This window comes from Homo sapiens, chromosome 12 (assembly GCF_000001405.40).
Source record: "Homo sapiens chromosome 12, GRCh38.p14 Primary Assembly".
Lineage (NCBI taxonomy): Eukaryota > Metazoa > Chordata > Mammalia > Primates > Hominidae > Homo > Homo sapiens.
In genome coordinates this window covers 21,576,181-21,596,445 of record NC_000012.12, presented here as the reverse complement: position 1 = coordinate 21,596,445, position 20,265 = coordinate 21,576,181, and the positions used below count along the sequence as shown (strand labels likewise).

At 38.6% G+C, this 20,265-nt stretch overlaps 1 protein-coding gene across 4 annotated transcripts in view, besides 1 other annotated feature; it reads left to right on the top strand.

Moving 5' to 3' along the window:
- GYS2 (glycogen synthase 2) overlaps positions 1-20,265 on the top strand; it is a 72,271-nt gene that overhangs the window by 8,402 nt on the left and 43,604 nt on the right. For 3 of the 4 annotated variants that reach the window (XM_024448960.2, NM_021957.4, XM_017019245.3), the window contains exon 2: positions 15,923-16,104. In XM_024448960.2, coding sequence (XP_024304728.1) covers positions 15,923-16,104 — 182 coding nt within the window. Of the gene's footprint in view, positions 1-15,922; positions 16,105-16,129; positions 16,219-20,265 lie in introns of those variants that run through there. The other variant, XM_006719063.4, reaches the window with a different exon arrangement.
- Positions 491-1,094: an enhancer, noted in NCBI's record as "OCT4-NANOG hESC enhancer chr12:21748286-21748889 (GRCh37/hg19 assembly coordinates)". NCBI's record gives its function as "activates a minimal SCP1, AML or CMV promoter by ChIP-STARR-seq in naive H9 embryonic stem cells {active_cell/tissue: H9 hESC(naive)}" and the evidence as "EXISTENCE:reporter gene assay evidence [ECO:0000049][PMID:30033119]".

The window sequence follows — 20,265 nt, the reverse complement described above, 5'->3', positions numbered from 1 at the left end:
TGTCAAACCAACCCTGCATCCCTGGCATGGAACCTGCTTGATCATGGTGGATTATCTTTTTGTTATGTTGTTGAATTTGGTTATCTAGTATTTTGTTAAGGATTTTAGCATCTATGTTCATCAAGGCTATCAGTCTGTAGTTTTCTTTTTTGGTTATGTCCTTCCCTGGTTTTGGTGTGATGCTGGCTTCATAGAATGAATTAGGGCAGGTTCCTTCTTTATCTGTCTTGTAGAATAGTGTCAAAAAGATGGGGACCAATTCCTCTTTGAATGTCTAGTAGAATTCTGTTGTGAATCCATCTGGTCCTGAACTTTTTTTTGGTTGGTAATTTTTTAATTACCAATTAAATCTCACTGCTTGTTATTGGTCTGTTAGTAAATTTATTGAGGCTCATTTCATGGCCTATCATATGGTCTACCTTGGAGAAATTTCCACGCGCTGTTGAATAGAATGTGTGTTCTGTGGTTATTGGATGAAATGTTCTGTATATAACTGTTAAGTCCATTTGTTCTAAGGTATAATTTAAATCCATTATTTTTTTGTTGACTTTCTGTCTTGATGAACTGTCTAGTGCTGTCAATGAAGTATTGAAGTCCCCCACTATTATTGTGTTGCTGTCTATCTCATTTCTTAGGTCTATTAGTAATTGTTCTATAAATTTGGGAGCTCCAGTGTTAGGTGCATATATGTTTAAGATTGTGATATTTTCCTGTTGGACAAGGCCTTTTACCATTATATAATGTCCCTCTTTGTCTCTTTTAACTGCTGTTGCTTTAAAGTTTGTTTTGCCTACTCACTTTTGGTGGCCATTTGCATGAAATACCTTTTTCACCCTTTTAAGTGGAGCATTTAGGCCATTTACATTCAATGTTAGTAATGTAAATGCCTGGCTATGCCAGGCAGGAATGGCCTGCTCAGGGACCCAGTGAGCTCCCAGGGCCTTTCTCACTGCTTCCTCTACACCTGTATTTTGCTCAGCTCTCTAAGTTAACTCAACTCCAGGTAAGGTCAGAAACTTCTCCCACAAACAGACCTTCAGTTTCTCCAGTGGGAGTGTGTGTTTAGGAGAGGAGGATCTCCCTTTCCCACTTCCGCAGTTGGGGCACTCACAGTATTTGGGGTGTCTCCTGGGTCCTGCAGGAGCAATCTACTTCCTTCAGAGGGTCTGTGGGTCCTCTCAGGATTGCTGGTTTGTTCTTGCAGTCTATCTGCAGCTAAAATTCACAATGCGAGCCTCCACATGCTGCTCTGTCCATCTGAGTTGGAGCTGCAATCTAGGCCTACCTCCCATCCGCCAAGATCCTGAGAAGTTGGGGATTATATTTCAACATGAGATTTGGAGGGAACAAACATCCAAACCATATCAGCAGTCCAGTTTTATTCTTTTGCACATGGATATCCAATGGATATCCAATTTTTTCAGCACCATTTCTTGAACACTGTGTCCTTTCCTCAATGTATATTCTTGTCACCTTTGTTGAAAATCTGTTGGCTATAAATATGTGGATGCATTTCTAGGTTCTCTATTCTCTTCCATTGGTCTAAGTGTCTGTTCTAATGTCAGTATCATGCTGTTTAGGTTCCTATACTTTTGTAATATACTTTGAAATCAGGTAGTATGATACCTCTAGCATTGTTCTTTTTTCACAGGATGACTTTGGCTACTGGAGCTATTTTTTAATTTCATACAAATTTTAGATTGGTTTTTCCATTTCTGTGAAAAATGACATTGCTATTTTGATAGCGGTCATATAGAATCTGTAGATTGCTTTGGGTAGTATGGCCATTTTAACAATATTAATTTTTCTGATCCATGAACATAGGATATCTCTCCATTTGTTTCTGTCCTTTTCAATTCTTTTATCAGTGTTTTGTAGTTTTCCGAATAGAGGTTTTTCGGTTCCTTGGTTAAATTTATCCCTAAATATTTTATTTTTTAGCTATTGTAAATGGGATTGCCTTCTTAATTTCCTTCTCAGCTAGTTTATTATTGGTGTGTAGAAACATTGCTTGTTTCATATGCTGATTTTGTCTCCTGTAACTTTACTGAATTTATTTTTCAGCGCTAAGAGTGCTTTGGTGGAGTCTTGGTTTTTCTAGGTATAAAATCATGTCATCTGGAAAGATGGACAGTTTGACTTCATCTTTTCCTATTTGCATGCCTTTTCTTTCTTTCTTTCTCTGACCTGAAAGCTGTGGCTAGGACTTCCAGTATTATATTGAATAGGAGTGATGGAAGTGGGCATCCTTATTTTGTTTCAGTTCTTAGAGGAAAGGCTTCCAGCTTTTCCCAATTCAGTATGATGTTAGCTGTGGGTTTGTCATATATGACTTTTATTATATTGAGATATGTTCCTTCTATGATTGGCTGCAGATAGTTTTTATCATGAAGGAATGTTAAATTTTATCAAATACTTTTTCTGTATCTATTGAGATGATCATATGGTTTTTGTTCTTTTTGTTGATGTGATGTATCACATTTATTGATTTGAACTGTTCTTGCAACCCTAGTATAAATCCCACTTGATCATGGTGTATTATCTTTTGGATGTACTGTTGGATTCAGTTTGCTAGTATTTTGTTGAGGATTTTCACACCTATGTTCCATCAGGGATATTGACCTGCAGTTTTATTTTTACTTGCATCCTTGTCTGGTTATGGAATCAGGATAATACTGGCCTCAGAGAATGAGTTAGGGAGAATTCCTTCCTGTTTAATTTTTAAAAGAATTTAAGGAGACTTGTTAGTTTTCTTTGAAAGTTTGGTAAAATTTGACAGTAAAGCCATCTGGTCTTGAAATTTTCTTTTTTGGGAGACTTTTTACTACTGATTCAATTTCATTATTCATTACTGGTCTGTTCAGGTTTTCTATTCTTTCTTAATTCAATCTTGGTAGGTGGTATGTGTCCAGAAATTTATTAATTTCCTCTAGATTTTTCAGTTTTTTAGTGTATGGTTGTTCATAATAGTCTCTGATAATCTTTTCTATTTCTGTGGTATCGGTTGTAATATATTTTCTTTTTTATTTCTGATTTTCTTTATTTCAGTCTCTTCTCTTTTTCTTGGTTAGTCTAGCTAGAGCTATATCCATTTTATCTTTTTTAAATAACAACTTTTCATTTTGCTAATCCCTTGTTGTTGTTTTTCTCTATTTCATTAAGTTCTTCTGTTCTTCATTTTTTCTTTCCTTCTGCTAGTTTTGGGTTTTGTTCTTGCTTTTCTAGCTTGTTGAGGTACATGATTAGATTATATATTTGAAATCTTTCTATGTTTTTAATTTAAGTGTTTATTGATAAGCTTCTCTCTTAGCACTGCTTTTGCTGTATCCCATGGCTTTTCCTATGTTGTATTTCAATTTTCATTTGTTTCAAAAAATTTTTGATTTCCTTCTTAATTTTCTTCTTGACATAACGTTCATTCAGGAGCATGTTGTTTAATTTCCATGTATTTGTATAGGTTTTAAAGTTTTTCTTGTTATTGATTTCTAGTTTTATTCCATTGTGGTCTGAGAAGATGCTTAATATGATTTCAAATATTTCAAATTAGTTGAGACTTCTTTTGTGTTCTAACATATGGTGTATCCTGGGGAATGCGTCATGTGCTGATGAGATAAATATATTCTGTAGCTGTTGGATGAAATATTGTGTAAATGTTAGATCCATTTGGTCTAAAGTCAAGTTTAAATCCAATGTTTCTTTGTTAATTTTCTGTCTAGATGATCTATCTGATGCTGAGATTAGAATGTTGAAATCCCCAACTATTATTGTATTGGATTCTATTTCACCCTTTATATCTAATAACATTTGCTTTACATATCTGGATGCTCTGGTGTTGAGTGTGAATGTTTAGAATTGTTATATACTCTTGCTGAATTGTTCCTTTTATCATTATGTAATGACTTTTGTCTCTTAGTGTTTTTTATTTAAAGTCAATTTTATCTGTTATAGGTATAACTACTTTTGCTCATTTTTGGTTTCTCTTTGTATGGAAGATCTTTCATCTTTTTACTTTCAGTCTATATTTATCTTTACAAGTGAGATAAGTTTCTTATAGGCAGCTTACAACTGGGTCATATTTTTGTTTTAAATCTATTTAGCCAGTCTATATCTTTCAAGTAACAATTTAATCCATTTACATGCAAGGCTATTATTGACATGTGAGAGCTTATTCCTGCCATTTTGTTAATTGATTCCTGGTTGTTTTGTTTTTTTTTTAGTTTGTTTGTTTTGTGTTTTTTTCTTCCTTCCTTCCTTTTCTTTCTTTCATTCTCTCTCTCTCTCTCTTTCTTTCTTTCTTTCTTTCTTATTATTTATGATTGTGGTTTGGTGATTTTCTGTAGTGGTAACGTTTGAGTTCTTTCTCTTCTTTATTTGTGTTTTGCTCTACCAGTTAGTTGTATACCTTTGTGTGTCTTCATAATGGCAGTGTCCTGTCACTTTCATGTGTAGGACTCCCTTAAATATTTCTTGTAAAGCCAGTCTAGTGATAGTGAATTCCTTCAAATTTTTCTTGCCCAGAAAAGATTTTATTTATCCTTCATTTTTGAAGAACAATGTTGCTGGGTATAACATCCTTGGTGTCATTTTTTTCTTTCACTATTTTGAATATATCATCCCATCTTCTCCTGGCCTGTGAGGTTTCTGCTGAGAAATCTGCTGTTAATCTGTTAATCTTGTGGAAGTTCCCTTATAAGTGACTAGACATTTTGCTTGCTGTTTTAGAGTTCTTACTCTTTGGCTTTTGACAGTTTGACTATAATGTGCTGTGGAGAAGAGCTTTTTGCATTATATTATTTGGGAATTTCTGATTTTCATTTGTCTGGATGTCTACATTTCTTGCTAGACTTGACAAGTTTTCAGCTATTGTGTTGTTACGTAGGTTTCCTACACCTTTCATGTTCTCTTTACCTTCTGGGAAACTGCAAATTTGAATATTTGTTCACTTTATAGTGCCTCATATGTCACATACACTTTGTTCATTCTTTTTTTTTCCTTTCTATCATTTGACCAGCTAATTTTAAAAGACCTGTCTTCAAGTTCTGAAATTTTTCTTCTGCTTGATCTGATCTATTGTTGAAGTTTTTGAATGTATTTTGTATTTCTTTCAATAAACTCTTCAGTTACAGAATTTCTGTTTGGTTCATTCTTGTTGTATCTATCTCTTGGGTAAATTTCTCATTCATATCCTGAATTGTTTTTCTGATTTCTTTTTATTGTTTATCTGAGTTCTCTTGTGTCTCACTGAGCTTCCTTAATATCAACATTTTGGATTCTTTTTTCCAGAATTTTATAAATGTCTTTTTTTTCCACTGGCTTATGTTGCTGAAGAATTATTAAATTCCTTTGGAAGTGTCATATTTCTTCACCTTTTTATGTTTATTTTGTTCTTGCATTGATATCTCTGCATCTGGTGTAATGATTGCTGCTTCCAGTTTTGTAAATTTGTTTTTGTAGGGGAAGACTTTTTTCTGAAGATGTATCTTGGTGTTGATTGAGTAGGGCACTTTGATTTTGATTTCTAGGTGCATACAGCAGCATAGTCTTCATATTATTTTTTTTCAGCTGCCAACAGTATCATCAGTGTCTGTGATTTTTTCAGTGGCTTAGGGTGCATTTGTTAGTGAAGGTGGTGATGAGGTTGTGCTGGAGACAAGAATATCAAGTGGGCCAGTCCTTGGCCCCAGTGGTGGTGGTGGGCCTAGCATTCCTGTCCTTGGGCCCCATGGCTGTGTACATTGGCACTGATGGTAATGAGTCTAGTTGGGTTGATTCTTTGGCCTTCAGGCAGTTTGCTTGGGTGTCAGTAGTGGCCATAGTAGACTGGGCTGGTGTGTGGGTCCTCAGGCTTCTGGACAGTGGGTGTGGTGTGGGTGATGGCTGTAGCAACTGCAGGACAACCCTCTGGCTCCCAAGCAGTCTGCACTGGTGTTGGTGGTGGCTGCAAGGGCTGAATGAGCCAGTCTTCAGACCCACAGGTGGCACATGCAGGAGGTGCCAGTTGTGATGGCAGTGGCAGATTGGGTAGGCCCATCATCAGGCTTCTGGGAGGGTTGCTTAGGTACCAGTCATGGTGGATGGCACAAGGCTGTCTCTGGGTTCCCAGACAACTTGCTTAGGCATTGAGGAAGGCAAAGCCAGGCTGGGTGTTCCTGACCTCAGGCCACTCAGTGGTGTGTGTGGACACCGGCTATCATAGGCTGGAGTGGAGTGATCCTCAGGCCCCCAGCAGAATGCCTGAGTGAATTAGCAGCTACTGCATTGTTGCCCTGCTCTTGAAGGGGTGCGGGGTGTGTTGCTTTCAGTGGCAGCAGCTATAAATGGGTTGCTGGTGGGCATGTGTTTCAGCCCCAGATGGTGGCTGCAAGTGGGGTAGCATTTTCTTAGGGAGCTTATAAATGTGTAGCAGCCCTGCTACTGGGGGTGGGGGAGTCCACTTCTAATGACACACTTTATCCCTGGTGACAGCAGCCAGCAGTAGCACTCAGCTGTGGGTGGGGGATGTCAGCAGAGCTTCAGGGATGTAGAGATGCAGATGATGTTGGGGTCTGAGGAACGATGTCATCTGGTGGGTGTTGGGCTCTCAAAATGGCACCTTGCTGCTCAGTAATGGGGATGGCAGGGGTGGGACCCAGTGAGAGCTCCTTCTCTGGAGCAATGCCTTTGTGCGATTGCTGGGCAGTTCCTTATGATAGTCTCAAGGCCTGCATGGTCAAGGGACTCTCCTGTGGCTAGGATTCCTGGAGTCCATAATGCAGATGTGGACCACTGGGAGTCAGTCACTTAACTTTCGATGCACTGGGGAGCCTCTCTGGCCTCACAGAGGATCCCTACTGGGTAGGCTTCCTTGCTTCCCTCCCCTTCATTGCCTTAGATGCTTCCTGTCACTTCTCTGTTGAATTCCAGAATTCTCTCTTATGTGGGATTTTCTACTTACTATTTTGGTTCTTTGTGGAGGAGGTGAGTGTCAGCTGCCCTTAGTCAGTAATCTTCAAGCCCCTTCCCTTGAAATTTTTTAAGCTTTATGTTTTTATTTCTAATAGACTGAAAGAGCATAATCATATTTTAAACACTCTAAGGCTATATGGGGGACTATCTGAAGGCCTCAGATGAGTAAAAGAAGTAGCGAATTAGTTAACTATGTTTTTCTTTTCATTTCATTTCCCAAATCAAATCATTTGTTTCTTCAAATAAAGAATCTCTATTTCCCCCTTATGTTCTTCAGCAAATAAAAATGTTTGCATCTACCAAAGTGTATATGAATTTGAAATACGTAATCTAACAAACAAGGATGTTTTAAGATCTCTGAGTAAGATGCATAGTTGCAAATAAAAGGAGTTTTCAAGGATAAAAAATGTAAATAAAACATCTAATAAATGTGTACCATCAGAAACTTATGGTATATTCTCCTGGAAAAGATGAAGATGAAGAAAATAAGTCTACAGAAGAGGAGAAATTCTTTGGAAATTTTGCATTTTTGTGGATAGTGGTTTTGAAGAAAGCTTAGATATATTTAAATATGTTGCTAAGATGTGACTCCCACACTTTAAAGAAAAGTTCTTCATTTTAGTTGCCCTTGCAAATTGGCTAAGTTTATTTTTCCTCAACAAATAATTTTGATGGTTTCTAAAATTGTCCAGAATTTGAGGAAATACTTAGATGTAGTAGATGACATCAATTTATGTTAACTTAGATTTATTGTTGGATGGTTAAGTTAATCATGTCTGTTCTTGTCCAGTCTAGAAGTTTCTGCTTCCTCCTCATGTGTTCTATTCTGTCCTCATCACATAACATCTGAACTGTGATTTGACAGTGTCCTTATTATCAGACTCTGCTCAATGACAGTTTAAACTTCTTTTTGATACAGTAAAAAACTTTTCCTTAAAGATGAAATTCTTAAGGACAATTAGCTTGTGTAGACTCATATGAAAATTGCTTGCATTTTGGAGTTACATTAGCTCTTCTCCTTTATAAATTAATGAATCCTATTGGTACCATATAATAGCATCAACATTTGCCTTTTGTGTCTCGCCTTTCAAAGGGCAATTTTCCAAAAAGTATATTTTGCATGGCTCAGGCTAAAAGTAATGTCTCCAGATGAAGTTCTACTTTGTGACCATTGATTGTGACTATTGATAAGATTTACTATGTAAAGTATAAGTTACTGGAATAATACATTTAAGAAATATAGTAGCTATTAAAACCTGTAGTCTGATGAAATGGAATATGTTTTGAAAGACAGCAGTGAAAAATGAGAAGTAATATATAAGTAATAAAATTGCTTTTTGCAATTGAGTTGAAGATTGATGCCAGGATCTTATTACCTCCAGGATTTCACAAAGGATTTCTTGAGTCATCCCCTTGCTCTAGCTCATGAACAAAGTATTGCTCAAGTAATCGACAGATTATTTGTGTATTCTCACATGTGATTATTATTTAGTGCTGTCACGGGAAATATCCTGCCTAAGTTTACTGGAGGTCTTCCTCCCCTTACCCCTCCCTATGTCCTCCTACCTGGTTATCCTTTTCAATCCTATTACTCTTTCCTTGCACACTCTACTCCAGCTTAGGGCCTGGGCTCTGACCATTACCTCTGCCTAAAAATTCCTCCTCATGACATCCATTTGCCCAATTTCTTCACCCTTTTAATTACCCCATTAAGTGATATTTTGCTTGCTCAATTTTTGCCTTTTCAATCAGATCTAATTTATTTTATATTTTTAAAATTTATTTATATATATTTAGAAGGTATGTACTAGTTCGTTATCATGCTGCTTATAAAGACATACCTGAGACTGGGTAATTTATAAGGAAAAAACGTTTAATTGTCTCACAGTTCCACAGGGCTGGGGAGGCCTCGGGAAACTTACAATCATGGCAGAAGAAGAAACAAACATGTCCTTCTTCACATGGCAGCAGCAAGTAGAAGTGCCAAGCAAAAGGGGGAAAAGCCGCTTATAAAACCATCAGATCTTGTAAGAACTCACTATCACGAGAAGAGCATGAGAGTAACCTCCTCTATGATTCAATTACCTCCCTCCAAATCCCTCCCACAACACGTGAGGATTATGGGAACTACAATTCAAGATGAGATTTGGGTGGGGACACAGTCAAGCTGTATCAGGGTACAAGCTCGGGTTCCTTACATATGTATGTTGCATAGTGGTGAAGTCTGAGCTTTTAGTGGACCATCACCTGAAAAGTGAATGTTGTATCCAATCCGTAGTTTTTCAGTCCTCACCATACTCCTATCCTCCCACCTTTCTCTAGTCTCAAGTGTCTATTATTTCATTCTATATGTCTATGCTTACTCATCGTTTAGCTCCCACTTGGCTCTCACTAAATGAGAACATACTGTGTTTGACTTTCTGTTTCTGAGTTATTTCACTGAGGATAATGTCCTCCAGTTCTAACCATGTTTCTAGAGAAGACATGATTTCATTCTTTTTTATGGCTGAGTAATATATATGTATATAAATATATATACACCACATTTTCTTTATCCAATCGTCCATTGGTAGACATTTAGGTTGATTCCATATCTTTGCTATTGGGAACAGTGCTACTTTGAACATACTAATGCAGATATCTTTTTTAATATGATCTCTTTCACTTTGGGTCCATACCCAGTAGTGGGATTGCAGGATTGAATGGTAGTTCTGTTTCTAGTTCTTTAAGAAATCTTCATGCTGTCTTCCATAAAGTTTGTACTAATTTACATTCTTACCAACAGTGTATAAGCATTTTCTTGTCTCCACATCCTCACCAACATCTGCTGTTTTTGAACTTTATAATGATAGCCATTCTGACTGGCATAAGGAGGTATCATATGGTGGTTTTAATTTGCATTCTCTGATTATTAGTGATGTTGAACTTTTTTTTGACGTTTATTGGCCACTTGTATGTCTTCTTTTGGAAAATGTCTGCTCAGGACCTGAGCTCACTGTATTTGTCAGGGTTCCCTAGAGAGACAGAACTAATAGGAGATAGATAGATAGATAGATAGATAGATAGATAGATAGATAGATATAGATTTAGATATAAAAGGGAGTTTATTAAGTAGTGTTAACTTACACAATCACAAGGTCCCACAATAGGCCATCTGCAAGCAGAGGAGCAAGGAAGCCAGTCCAAGTCCCAAAGCTGAAGGACTTGGAGTCCAATGTTTGAGGGCAGGAAGCATCCAGCATGGGAGAAAGATGTAGGCTTGGAGGCTAAGCCAGTCCAGGATTTTCACATGTTTTTTTTCTGCCTGCTTTATATCCTGGCCACACTGGCAACTGATTAGATGGTGCCCACCCAGATTAAGGGTGGGTCTGCCTTTCCCAGCCCACTGACTAAAATGTTAATCTCCTTTGGCAATACCCTCACAGACACACTCAGGATCAATACTTTGCACACTTCAATCCAATCAAGTTGACACTCAGTATTAACCATCACAAGTCCATCGCTTGTCAACTTGAGCCTATACACATCCCCTGAGGTCATACATTATCTTCAAATAAAGACAACAATAAGTCATAATTATGCCTAACATACTAAAACTATCCTTCGTGCAATTGAAAATGCACCAATCCCCATTGCAAATGCTATTACATAAACTTAACAATACTTAAATGCTGATATGAAGTCAATAAATCTTATGTCACATGATAAAGGAAAAAGGAAGTAAAATGTATATATTTTCTTAGTACAAGTGTATACAGACACGAAGGTGTTTTTAACAAAAGAAGGAGGAAATACTCATGACAATTACAGTCCTTGTATCTGCAATTGGTCACGTGATCGTAGCTGGTATTGATGACTACCTTCTTCTGCTACATATTCTGTATTCCCTTTGCCCTCAGCAAGCACCTCAGCAGGTCTTGTCTTTTTTTTTTTTTTTTTTCCTGGTGGAGTGACCCAAACCTTTATTTGTAGTCCTGCCTGGAATGGCCTGTAGTAGTTTCCCACTGACCTTAATTCCAGGACATGGTAAAACTAAGAGACACCCTAATGGATCTCCTATATTCCATGCATACGCTTCCTTACCTCCATTGTGGAGTTGTAGACTGATTTCATCTTGATAGTCTGGGTTAATCACCGCAGCCAACACTGTAACTCTCTTCTTAGCCTGTTGACTTAAAGGTGGGAGGAGCCCAAAGTGTCCAGGTGGCAATCTTAATTTGCAGTTTAATGGAATCATTATTGTGTCACCTGGCGGCAGTGTTCCTCCCTCTGGAACTAAGACCTCTAAGCCAGCAGAACATAATGCCATGGGAACAGGAAGCAAAAATTTTGCTAGTGGAACACTAGGGGTGATGGTGAGTGGTGCCACTTCCACTTCCACTTCCACCCTTTGATTCCTGGACCCGTGAATCCTGTCTATGGGAGAAACAGTACCATATATTGGACACTGATTCAGAGCATACACAGCCTTCTGGAGAACTTTGCCCCAGGCCTGCAAAGTATTGTCACCTAGTTGGCATTGTAATCGTGACTTCAAAAGGCCATTCAAAAGCTGCTTCAGGATGATAGGGATCATGGTAAGACCAGTAAATTCCATGAGCATGAGCCCACTGTCACACTTCTTTAGCCATAAAGTGAGTGGCTTGGTCAGAAGCAATGCTGTGTGGAATACCATGACAGTGGATACGGCATTCTGTGATTCCATGGATGGTAGTCTTGGCATAAGCATTGAGTTCAGGATTGGGAAACCCATATCCAGAGTAAGTGTCTATTCCAGTGAGGACAAGCCTCTGCCCTTTCCATGATGGAAGAGGTCCAATATAATCAACCTGCCACCAGGTAGCTGGCTGATCACCCCGAGGAATGGTGCCATATCAAGGGCTTAGTGTTGGTCTCTGATGCTGGCAAGCAGTGGCTGTGGCCAGGTCAGCTTTGGTGAGTGGAAGTCCATGTTGCTGAGCCCAAGCATAACTTCCATCCCTGCAACTGTGGCCACTTTGTTCATGGGTCCATTGGACGATGACATGAGTGGCCTGGGAAAAGGCTGAGTGGTGTCCACAGAATTGATCATCCTATCCACTTGATTATTAAAATCCTCTTCTGCTGAGGTCACCCATTGGTGAGCACTCACATGGGATGAAAATATCTTTGTAGTTTTTGACTAATCATAGAGGTCCATCCACATACCTCTTCCCCAAATTTCTTTGTCATCAATTTTCCAGTCATGCTTTTTCCAAGTCCCTGACCATCTAGCCAAACCTTTGGCTACAGCCCATGAATAAGTATATAATCGCAAATCTGGCCATTTCTCCTTCTGTGCAAAGTGCACAACCAGGCACACTGCTCAAAGTTCTGCCAACTAGGAAGATTTCCCTTCACCGTTGTCCTTCAGGGATGTCCTAGAAAGGGGCTGTAGTGCTGCGGCTGTCCACTTTTGGGTGGTGCCTGCATATCGTGCAGAACTATCTGTGAACCAGGACCTAGTCTTCTCTTCCTCTGTCAGCTGATCATAGGGAACTCCCCATGAGACCATCGGTGCAGTCTCAGGGAGAGAAAGCAGTGTGTCAGGAGTGGAGACCATGGGCATTTGAGCCCCTTTCTCATGTAACTTACTAGTGCCTTCAGGATCTGCTCAAGCCCAATCGCATATATACCACTTCCATTTGCTGATGCAATGCTGCTGTGCACAGCCCACTTTATGGCTAGATGGATCAGAAAGCACCCAGTTCATGATAGGCAGTTCAGGTCACATGGTGACTTGATGACTCATAGTCAAATATTTCGTTTCCACCAAAGCCCAGTAACAGGCCAAGAGCTTTCTCCCTAAAAGAGAGTAGTTATCTGCAGAAGATGGCAGGGCCTTGCTCCAAAATCCTAGAGGCCTCCGCTGTGATTCAGCCTGCCAAATGCTCCAAACAGCATCCCTATCTGGCACTGACACCTCAAGCATCATTGGATCTGCTAGGTCATATGGCCCAAGTGGCATAGCAGCTTGCACAGCAGCCTGGACCTGTGGCAGAGCCTTCTGTTCTGGACTCCACTCAAAACTGGCAGCCTTTTGGATCACTCGATAAATGGGCCAGAGTAACACACCCAAATCAGGAATATGTTGCCTCCAAAATCCAAATAGGCCCACTAGGCGTTGTGCCTATTTCTTGGTTGTAAGAGTGGCCAAATGCAGCAAATTATCCTTCACTTTAGAAGGAATATCTCAAAGAGCCCCAAACCATTGGACCCCTATAAATTTTACTGAGGTAGAAGGTCCCTGAATTTAATCAGATTTATTTCCCATCCTCTGTCCCACAAATGTCTCATCAATAAATCCAGTGTGTTTGCTACTTCTTGCTCACTAGTTCCAGTCAGCATGTCATCAATGTAATGGACCACTGTGATATCTTGTGGAAGTGAAAGGTGAGCAAGTTCTCTCCAAATAAGATTATGGCACAAAGCTGGAGAGTTGATATACTCCTGAGTTCATCATTTTCTTTCATCACTTTGTCCAGCGAACTTACAAGCAACCAACCAACTTCACTATGTTCCTTGATTCTCCACATATAGTCAAAAGTATTATGTATACAGTAGCTAAATTCCTTGCCTCTCACAAGCGTTGAATCAAGAGTGTCAAATGCATTTATTTTGCATAACTCTCTAAACAATTGATGCCAAGGATTATCAGTGTTCTCCATACCATTAGAAGAAGAGTCCTTAGCATATTTGGGTCTAATCATATTAAGCAGCCAACTCCAGAAACCCCAAAACCAATGAAAGAACTCCATCCTTAATATTCTGTTCCTCTAGAACCACTCCTGGTACCAAAATCTGTATTAGGGTTCTACAGAGAAACAGAATTAATAGGAGATATATATCTATATCTATATCTATATCTATATCTATATCTATATCTATCTCTATATCTATCTCTATATCTATATCTATATGAGAGTTTATTATGTAGTATTGACTCACATGTTCACAAGGTCCCAAAACAGGCCATCTGCCAGCTGAGGAACAAGGAAGCTAGTCGGAGTCCCAAAGCTGAAGAACCTGGAGTTCAATGTTCCAGGGCAGGAAGAATCCAGCATGGGAGAAAAATGTAGGCTGGGATGCCAAGCCAATCTAGCCTTTTCACATTTTTCTGCCTGCTTTATATCCTGGCTGTGCTGGCAACTGATTAGATGGTGCCCACCCAGATTAAGGGTGGGTCTGCCTTCCCCAGCCCACTGACTGAAATATTAATCTCCTTTGGTAACACCCTCACAGACACACCCAAGATCATTACTTTGCATCCTTCAGTCCAATCAAGTTGACACTCAGTATTAACCATCACAGTCACTTTCTAATGAGGTTGGTTTTTTTGTTGTTGAGTTCCTTGTAGATTCTGTATATTAGCCTTTTGTTGCATTCATAGTTTGCAATTTTTTTTTCTCATTCTGTAGGTTATCCGTTTACTCTGTTGATTCGGTCTTTTGCGGTGCAGAAGCATTTTAGTTTAATTAAGTCCCATTTGTCTGTTTTTGTTTTTGTTGTGTTTAGTTTTGAGGACTTGGTCATAAATTCTTTGCCTAGGCCACATCTAATTTTTAATCCTCTTTTAGAGCCTGTCTTTCCCTCCAAACTAAATATTATTTTACCCCCATTTGACACATGAGCTAATTGAGCCTTCTGTCTGTTAAGTAAGTTGACTAGTTCAGTGTAAGTTGTTTCTAATTTTTTGCCATCATAATGCTTTAGTAAACATCCTTTTCATACTCTCCTTAATTTTCCCCCAGGATGGTTTTCTAGATGTGGACTTGCTGGATCCAAAGTGTGCATATTTTCCAAATGTATCCATATATTGTGGCTTTGTGTTTTAATAGAGGTAGCAGCAATATTAGAGGAGAGAATTAAGGAACGATTCTAGTGTAGCAGGACAAGCTGCATACAAAACCCCTCAGACACCGAGTTAAAGAAGGAAGGGCTTTATTCGGCTGGGAGCTTGGGCAAGACTCACATCTCCAACAACCAAGCTCTCAGAGTGAGCAATTCCTGTCCCTTTTAAGGGCTTACAACTCTAAGGGGGTACATGACTGGGGGCTGCATGCACTGGTCATCAGAATGGAACAGAACAGGACAGGGATTTTCACACTGCTTTTCCATACAGTGTCTGGAATCTATAGATAACATAACTGGCCAGGTCAGGGGTCTATCTTTAACCAGGCCCAGGATGTGGTCTCAGGCTGTTTGCCTGTGGATTTCATTTCTGCCTTTTAGTTTTTACTTCTTCTTTCTTTGGAGGCAGAAATTGGGCATAAAACAATATGAAGGGTGGTCTCCTCCCTTACTAGGAAGAGAGAAATACCATGTGAGAATGAAATACGTATTTGTGTTATTGGATTTGACATCGGGGTTGGACCAAGCATCTTCTATGAACATCTATAAGCACGTTCTCCTTATCAAAAGGTACTTTGCTTGGTGCTTTAAAAGATAAATGACTATGTAGCTTAGGAGATTTCTTCATAATTGAAAACCACAGCAGCTGTTATTTGAACATACCTGAGCCCCTTCTGGACCACTGTAGGAGAAGGAGGAAGAGAGGTGAAAGTGATTTCTGCTGCTGAGGGCATGTATGATGACAATGGGTATTTGTCCTAACTTTGACACTACAAAGTGACTGGAGCTTTAGGCAAGTAGTTACTCCAATTGTCTTTTCAGACTCTTTCTTTTTGAGGTATTTGACCTCTTTGCGGCATCAGCCTGCTGCTATTTCACATGCACCTAGAAGGGACTTTAAAACATGCACAGAATTGAACAAAGCAGTAACCATTCGTTGGTGTCCCTTAACAATATGTCAAATACTATTATTTTTGAAAGGTAAATAAATCCTTGGGCTTAGTGGATCCTAAATGCTAATTTAAAAATCTGAACTCATTTCCATCCCTTATTACTTTAAACAAATTGCTAACCTGAATGATAATAGAAACTTTTTTCCTTTTAACAGTTGGAGGCATCTATACTGTGATTCAGACAAAGGCCAAAACAACAGCAGATGAATGGGGAGAGAACTATTTTCTGATAGGTCCATATTTTGAGCATAATATGAAGACTCAGGTGGAACAGTGTGAACCTGTAAATGATGCTGTCAGAAGAGCAGTGGACGCAATGAATAAGCATGGCTGCCAGGTAAAGGAACTGACACTTCACTTGGCAATTCTCAGTAAACTTATGGGAAAAAAGACTGTAACTAACATGAACTCACAAGAGAAGACCATTCACTTACTTAAGGAAAACTTTCAGGTTTGTGAGAAAGATGATGAACTTGCTTTTAAATGGATTGAATTTGAGACACCTTGTGAAAACCGAGGAGGAAGGATAATTGGTTTGGAGTTCAGCAGAAGATACAGAGTAAACATGTTTTTGAGGAAGTCATTTGTACATAAACTGAAGTCATGAGTGTTGTTAAAAATTATTCAGTGGAAATGTTTAGACTTGGAGTAAAGGTTTTCAACCAAACCTTGTGGAATGTCAGCATGTTAGGGCATCTACATTAAAAGAAGCTAGAGATTGCAAATGTAGAAGCAAAGCTAATGATGTACAACCAAGGATGTTCAAGTCTTAATCCTCAGAAGCTGTGAATATGCTACCTTTTATAGCAAATGGAATATGGCAGATGTGATTAAGTTAAAGATTTTGAGAAGGGGAGATAATCCTGAGTTATCTAGGTGGGTCCTCCTAAGAGGGAGGCCATAGAATTAGAATCAGGCAGGAGATGTGCCAATGAAAGCAGAGGTTGAAGGGAGCTACTTTGCAGATGGAGGAAGAGGCCACAAGGAATATAGGTGGCCTATAGAAGTAAGAAAAAGCGGCCAGGCATGGTGGCTCATGCCTATAATCCCAGCACTTTGGGAGGCCAAGATGGATGGATCACCTGAGGTCAGAAGTTCAAGACCAGCCTGGTCAACGTGGTGAAACCCCTGTCTCTACTAGATATACAAAAATTAGCCAGGTGTGGTTTTGCAGGCAGGCACCTGTAGTCCCAGCTACTCAGGAGGCTGAGGCAGGAGAATCACTTGAACCCAGGAGGCAGAGGTTGCAATGAGCTGAGATCGTGCCATTGCTCGCCTGCTTGGGCAACAAAAGTGAAACTTCATCTCAAAAAAAAAAAAAAAAAAAAAGAAGAAGTAAGAAAATAAATTCTTCCCTGGAAACTACACATGGAATGTGGCTCTGTCAACACACTGATTTTAGTCTATTTTGGACTACTGACTTCAATATCTGTAAGATAATAAATTTGTTTTAAGCCACTAGGCTATTGGTAATTTGTTACAGCTCCAACAGGAATCGTGATGTCAAGTCAAGGGAGGAGAGAATTTTAAGTATGAAGAAGGGATTAAGTCAGCAAAGGACTGATCCAGGGTCTGTTGGGTTTGGTAATATTTGGGCCATTGGTAACATGGATAAGTACAGTTTCAGAGGAGAAAGGAAGGTTAAATCTCATTTCAGTGGGTTAAGGAATAAATACGTGGTAAGAAAAAAGACACAGAAGTTGTGATTATGAGATTTTTCTATGAATATAAAATATAATAATGTAGTTGCAGAATGACATGGTTTTGAGAATTGGTGTGTTATTAAATATGGGTAAGACCTGAGCATGTTTATTTGCAAAAAGGAAATACCTAGCAGACAGGGAAAAGCTAAAAGCTCAGAATAAATGGAGGATTGAAGAGAATAAAGTCGCTGAGAATGGGGAAGGGGACAAGATCCAAAGCAATACTGAAAGAATCATTTTTCGCTTGTCTCACTCAAAAAAGGAAAAAAAGATAAATGCAAATACTAGATACAAGTTAATGAAGAATTCAGGACAATCTTACCCAATGTTTTTGATGATCTCACTGAAGCAGGTATTAAAGGTCATTTTATGACAATTAAAAGGCAAGTGTAGAAACTAGGGAAGTTCAAGAAAGAAGTTCTGAAAAAGTGTTCAAGGAATTTTTGGACATGTTTGAGATGTAGTCATGACTTTATAGTGGCACAAATACACACGGCTGTGACTTTGTCCAGGAGCAGTCTGCAGTCTGAGTGATGGTGCAGGAAGTTGAATAGATGAAGATCCAGTGTTGTTTAATTTGACCATTCATGCAATGGGTCAAGGTGGCCCAAGAATTGAAGGTAATTGTAAAAGTGATTGAATTAATAGTTTAATTCATGGGCCATTGCATTGGAATAGATAGAAAAGGAAGGAATTAAATAAGGAATAGACAGGAAAGAAAGTAAGCAAAGCCAGAAAGAAGATGATAATGTAGGACAAAATGGAGGGTTATAGGAACTGGAGGTCTTAAAGGGGAGAAAGAAAGAATATATACACTGGCAGAAACACAGTGACAGAAATGGAAGTACAAGAGTTGTAACTGGGTAACAGAATGCCGAAGTGGAATATTTTAGAGAAGAAATCATTTGGGATTTGACAAGGAAAGAATGCAGTCATGATCCTGAGTAGCTGAAATCAGGTGGACATGAAAGTCTTTTAAGTCCATAAGGTCAAGTAACCATGAGGTTAAGTGTGCAGGATAAAAAATCTGGACTTTGAAGTTGCTTAGGATAAGGTCAAAAAGTAACCTTATCTTTGCTGAGCAAGGAAAGGTAATATTTTTGGATAGCAAACATTTCAAAGGTGTTTTATATGTAAATAAAGAATAAGGCTTTAAAAGCTTCAGTAGAATTTTAAAAATCAGTAACTTTCCTTCCTACTCATCCCAGGAATATAGTTTCTGGGGGTGAAAAAATGCAAAGTCTTCACTTGAGATGCTGTGTGGGTAGTGGTGTCTAGGAGGTGCATGCAAGGTTTAAAGAGTGGAATGCATAATTTACAAGGGAAATTGAGATCCCAAAGAGTACCGGAAAACATTTCTTAGTGAAGGCAGCATAGAGAATGTTAGAAATGTGATAGAACAATGCCTATTGTACTATCAGGATGCAAATAAATGAAATGTTAGAAAGGGCTTGCATTTGAAGTTCTGGTGAAGGAAGAGTTAGATGAGAAACACAATGGAACTGACTGGTCTCAAGACTTCATGGCTTTCTAGTGTAGGGATATTTTCACGTTGCAGCCAAGAACTGACTGGAGGTCAATGCCAATTGGCTTACATTCTCTATTTGTGTAATAGGTTCAGCTCTTCTTTATGATCTTAGCTTATGTATCATGTGGCACATATTAGGCAGTCAGTAAATATTATATAGTAATATTACATGTTATTCACAGTGTATAAATACATGAAGCAATGAATTTCCCAAGGAGAAAAACTATTGAAAAGTGGTTTGGGGCTCAGGAAAATTTCATCTTAAAAGGAAACAGTGGCATGATAAACACTAAATTATAATGGAAACAACTGAAACATAATGAGGGTCTTTCAAGGTTGACCAAGGAACAGATGGGTGAGAAGCATCCCCACACATGCCTGGGTCCCCTGGTAGGAAATGATCAAATTGGGCTTTGAAGTCCTGCAAAATTCAGCCATAGGTGGAGTCATAAGTGTCAATATGTAAGCAATATTAATATATTTTATTTTCTAGAGAAGCCTGGATCCACATTGAGAAAGACTCGTAGCCTCTGCTGAGTTCCAGAAAGGGTTTGAAGTGGTTTATGAGGTTGTATATCATGTAAAAGGAGAATAAACATAAAATGAAAATTAAGACAAAAGAACAAGTAAATTACTATAGAAATATGGAGACAAAAAAGGAAGTTAAAACTTGGATATGCAAGTGATGATATACATACAACTGGAAAAAAATGAGAGAGCTAATTCATTAAAACTTGCAGAAGATAAAACATTTAGGAATCAACGTCAATTTGAAGAATGTAATAGAATTATACTTTGAGTTACTAGATTAAAGAGATAATGTATCTAGGGCAATGTGTTTAGTTAAACCTCTGGCAGCAACCATACTGGGAAACATTTTGCATCACTTCTTTTGATAGGAATAGTAAGATAAATCATACATATTGGACTACAGAAATAGCTTTTTCTTCTAGCAGGAAATATTGTTAGTCCTGTTCCATAAAAGAAAATAAGCGACACTGGAGCCATTATATCCAACTACCCAGGTTTTCAGAGATACAAAGCATTTCATGGCTCTGTCATAAAAGCAGACACTATAATATTAATCACTGTGAGTTCATGGTCACAAGAGAGTAACTAGAGACAGATGAACAGAGATTACATGATTTAGATACATTGTTTTTAAATTTAATGAAGAGCAAGAATTTGGAGGTTCTAGATGAATGGATTTATGCCCATTCCAGCTTGAGGCTCAAACAGCAGAGGCTATATGTTATCAATATTCTTT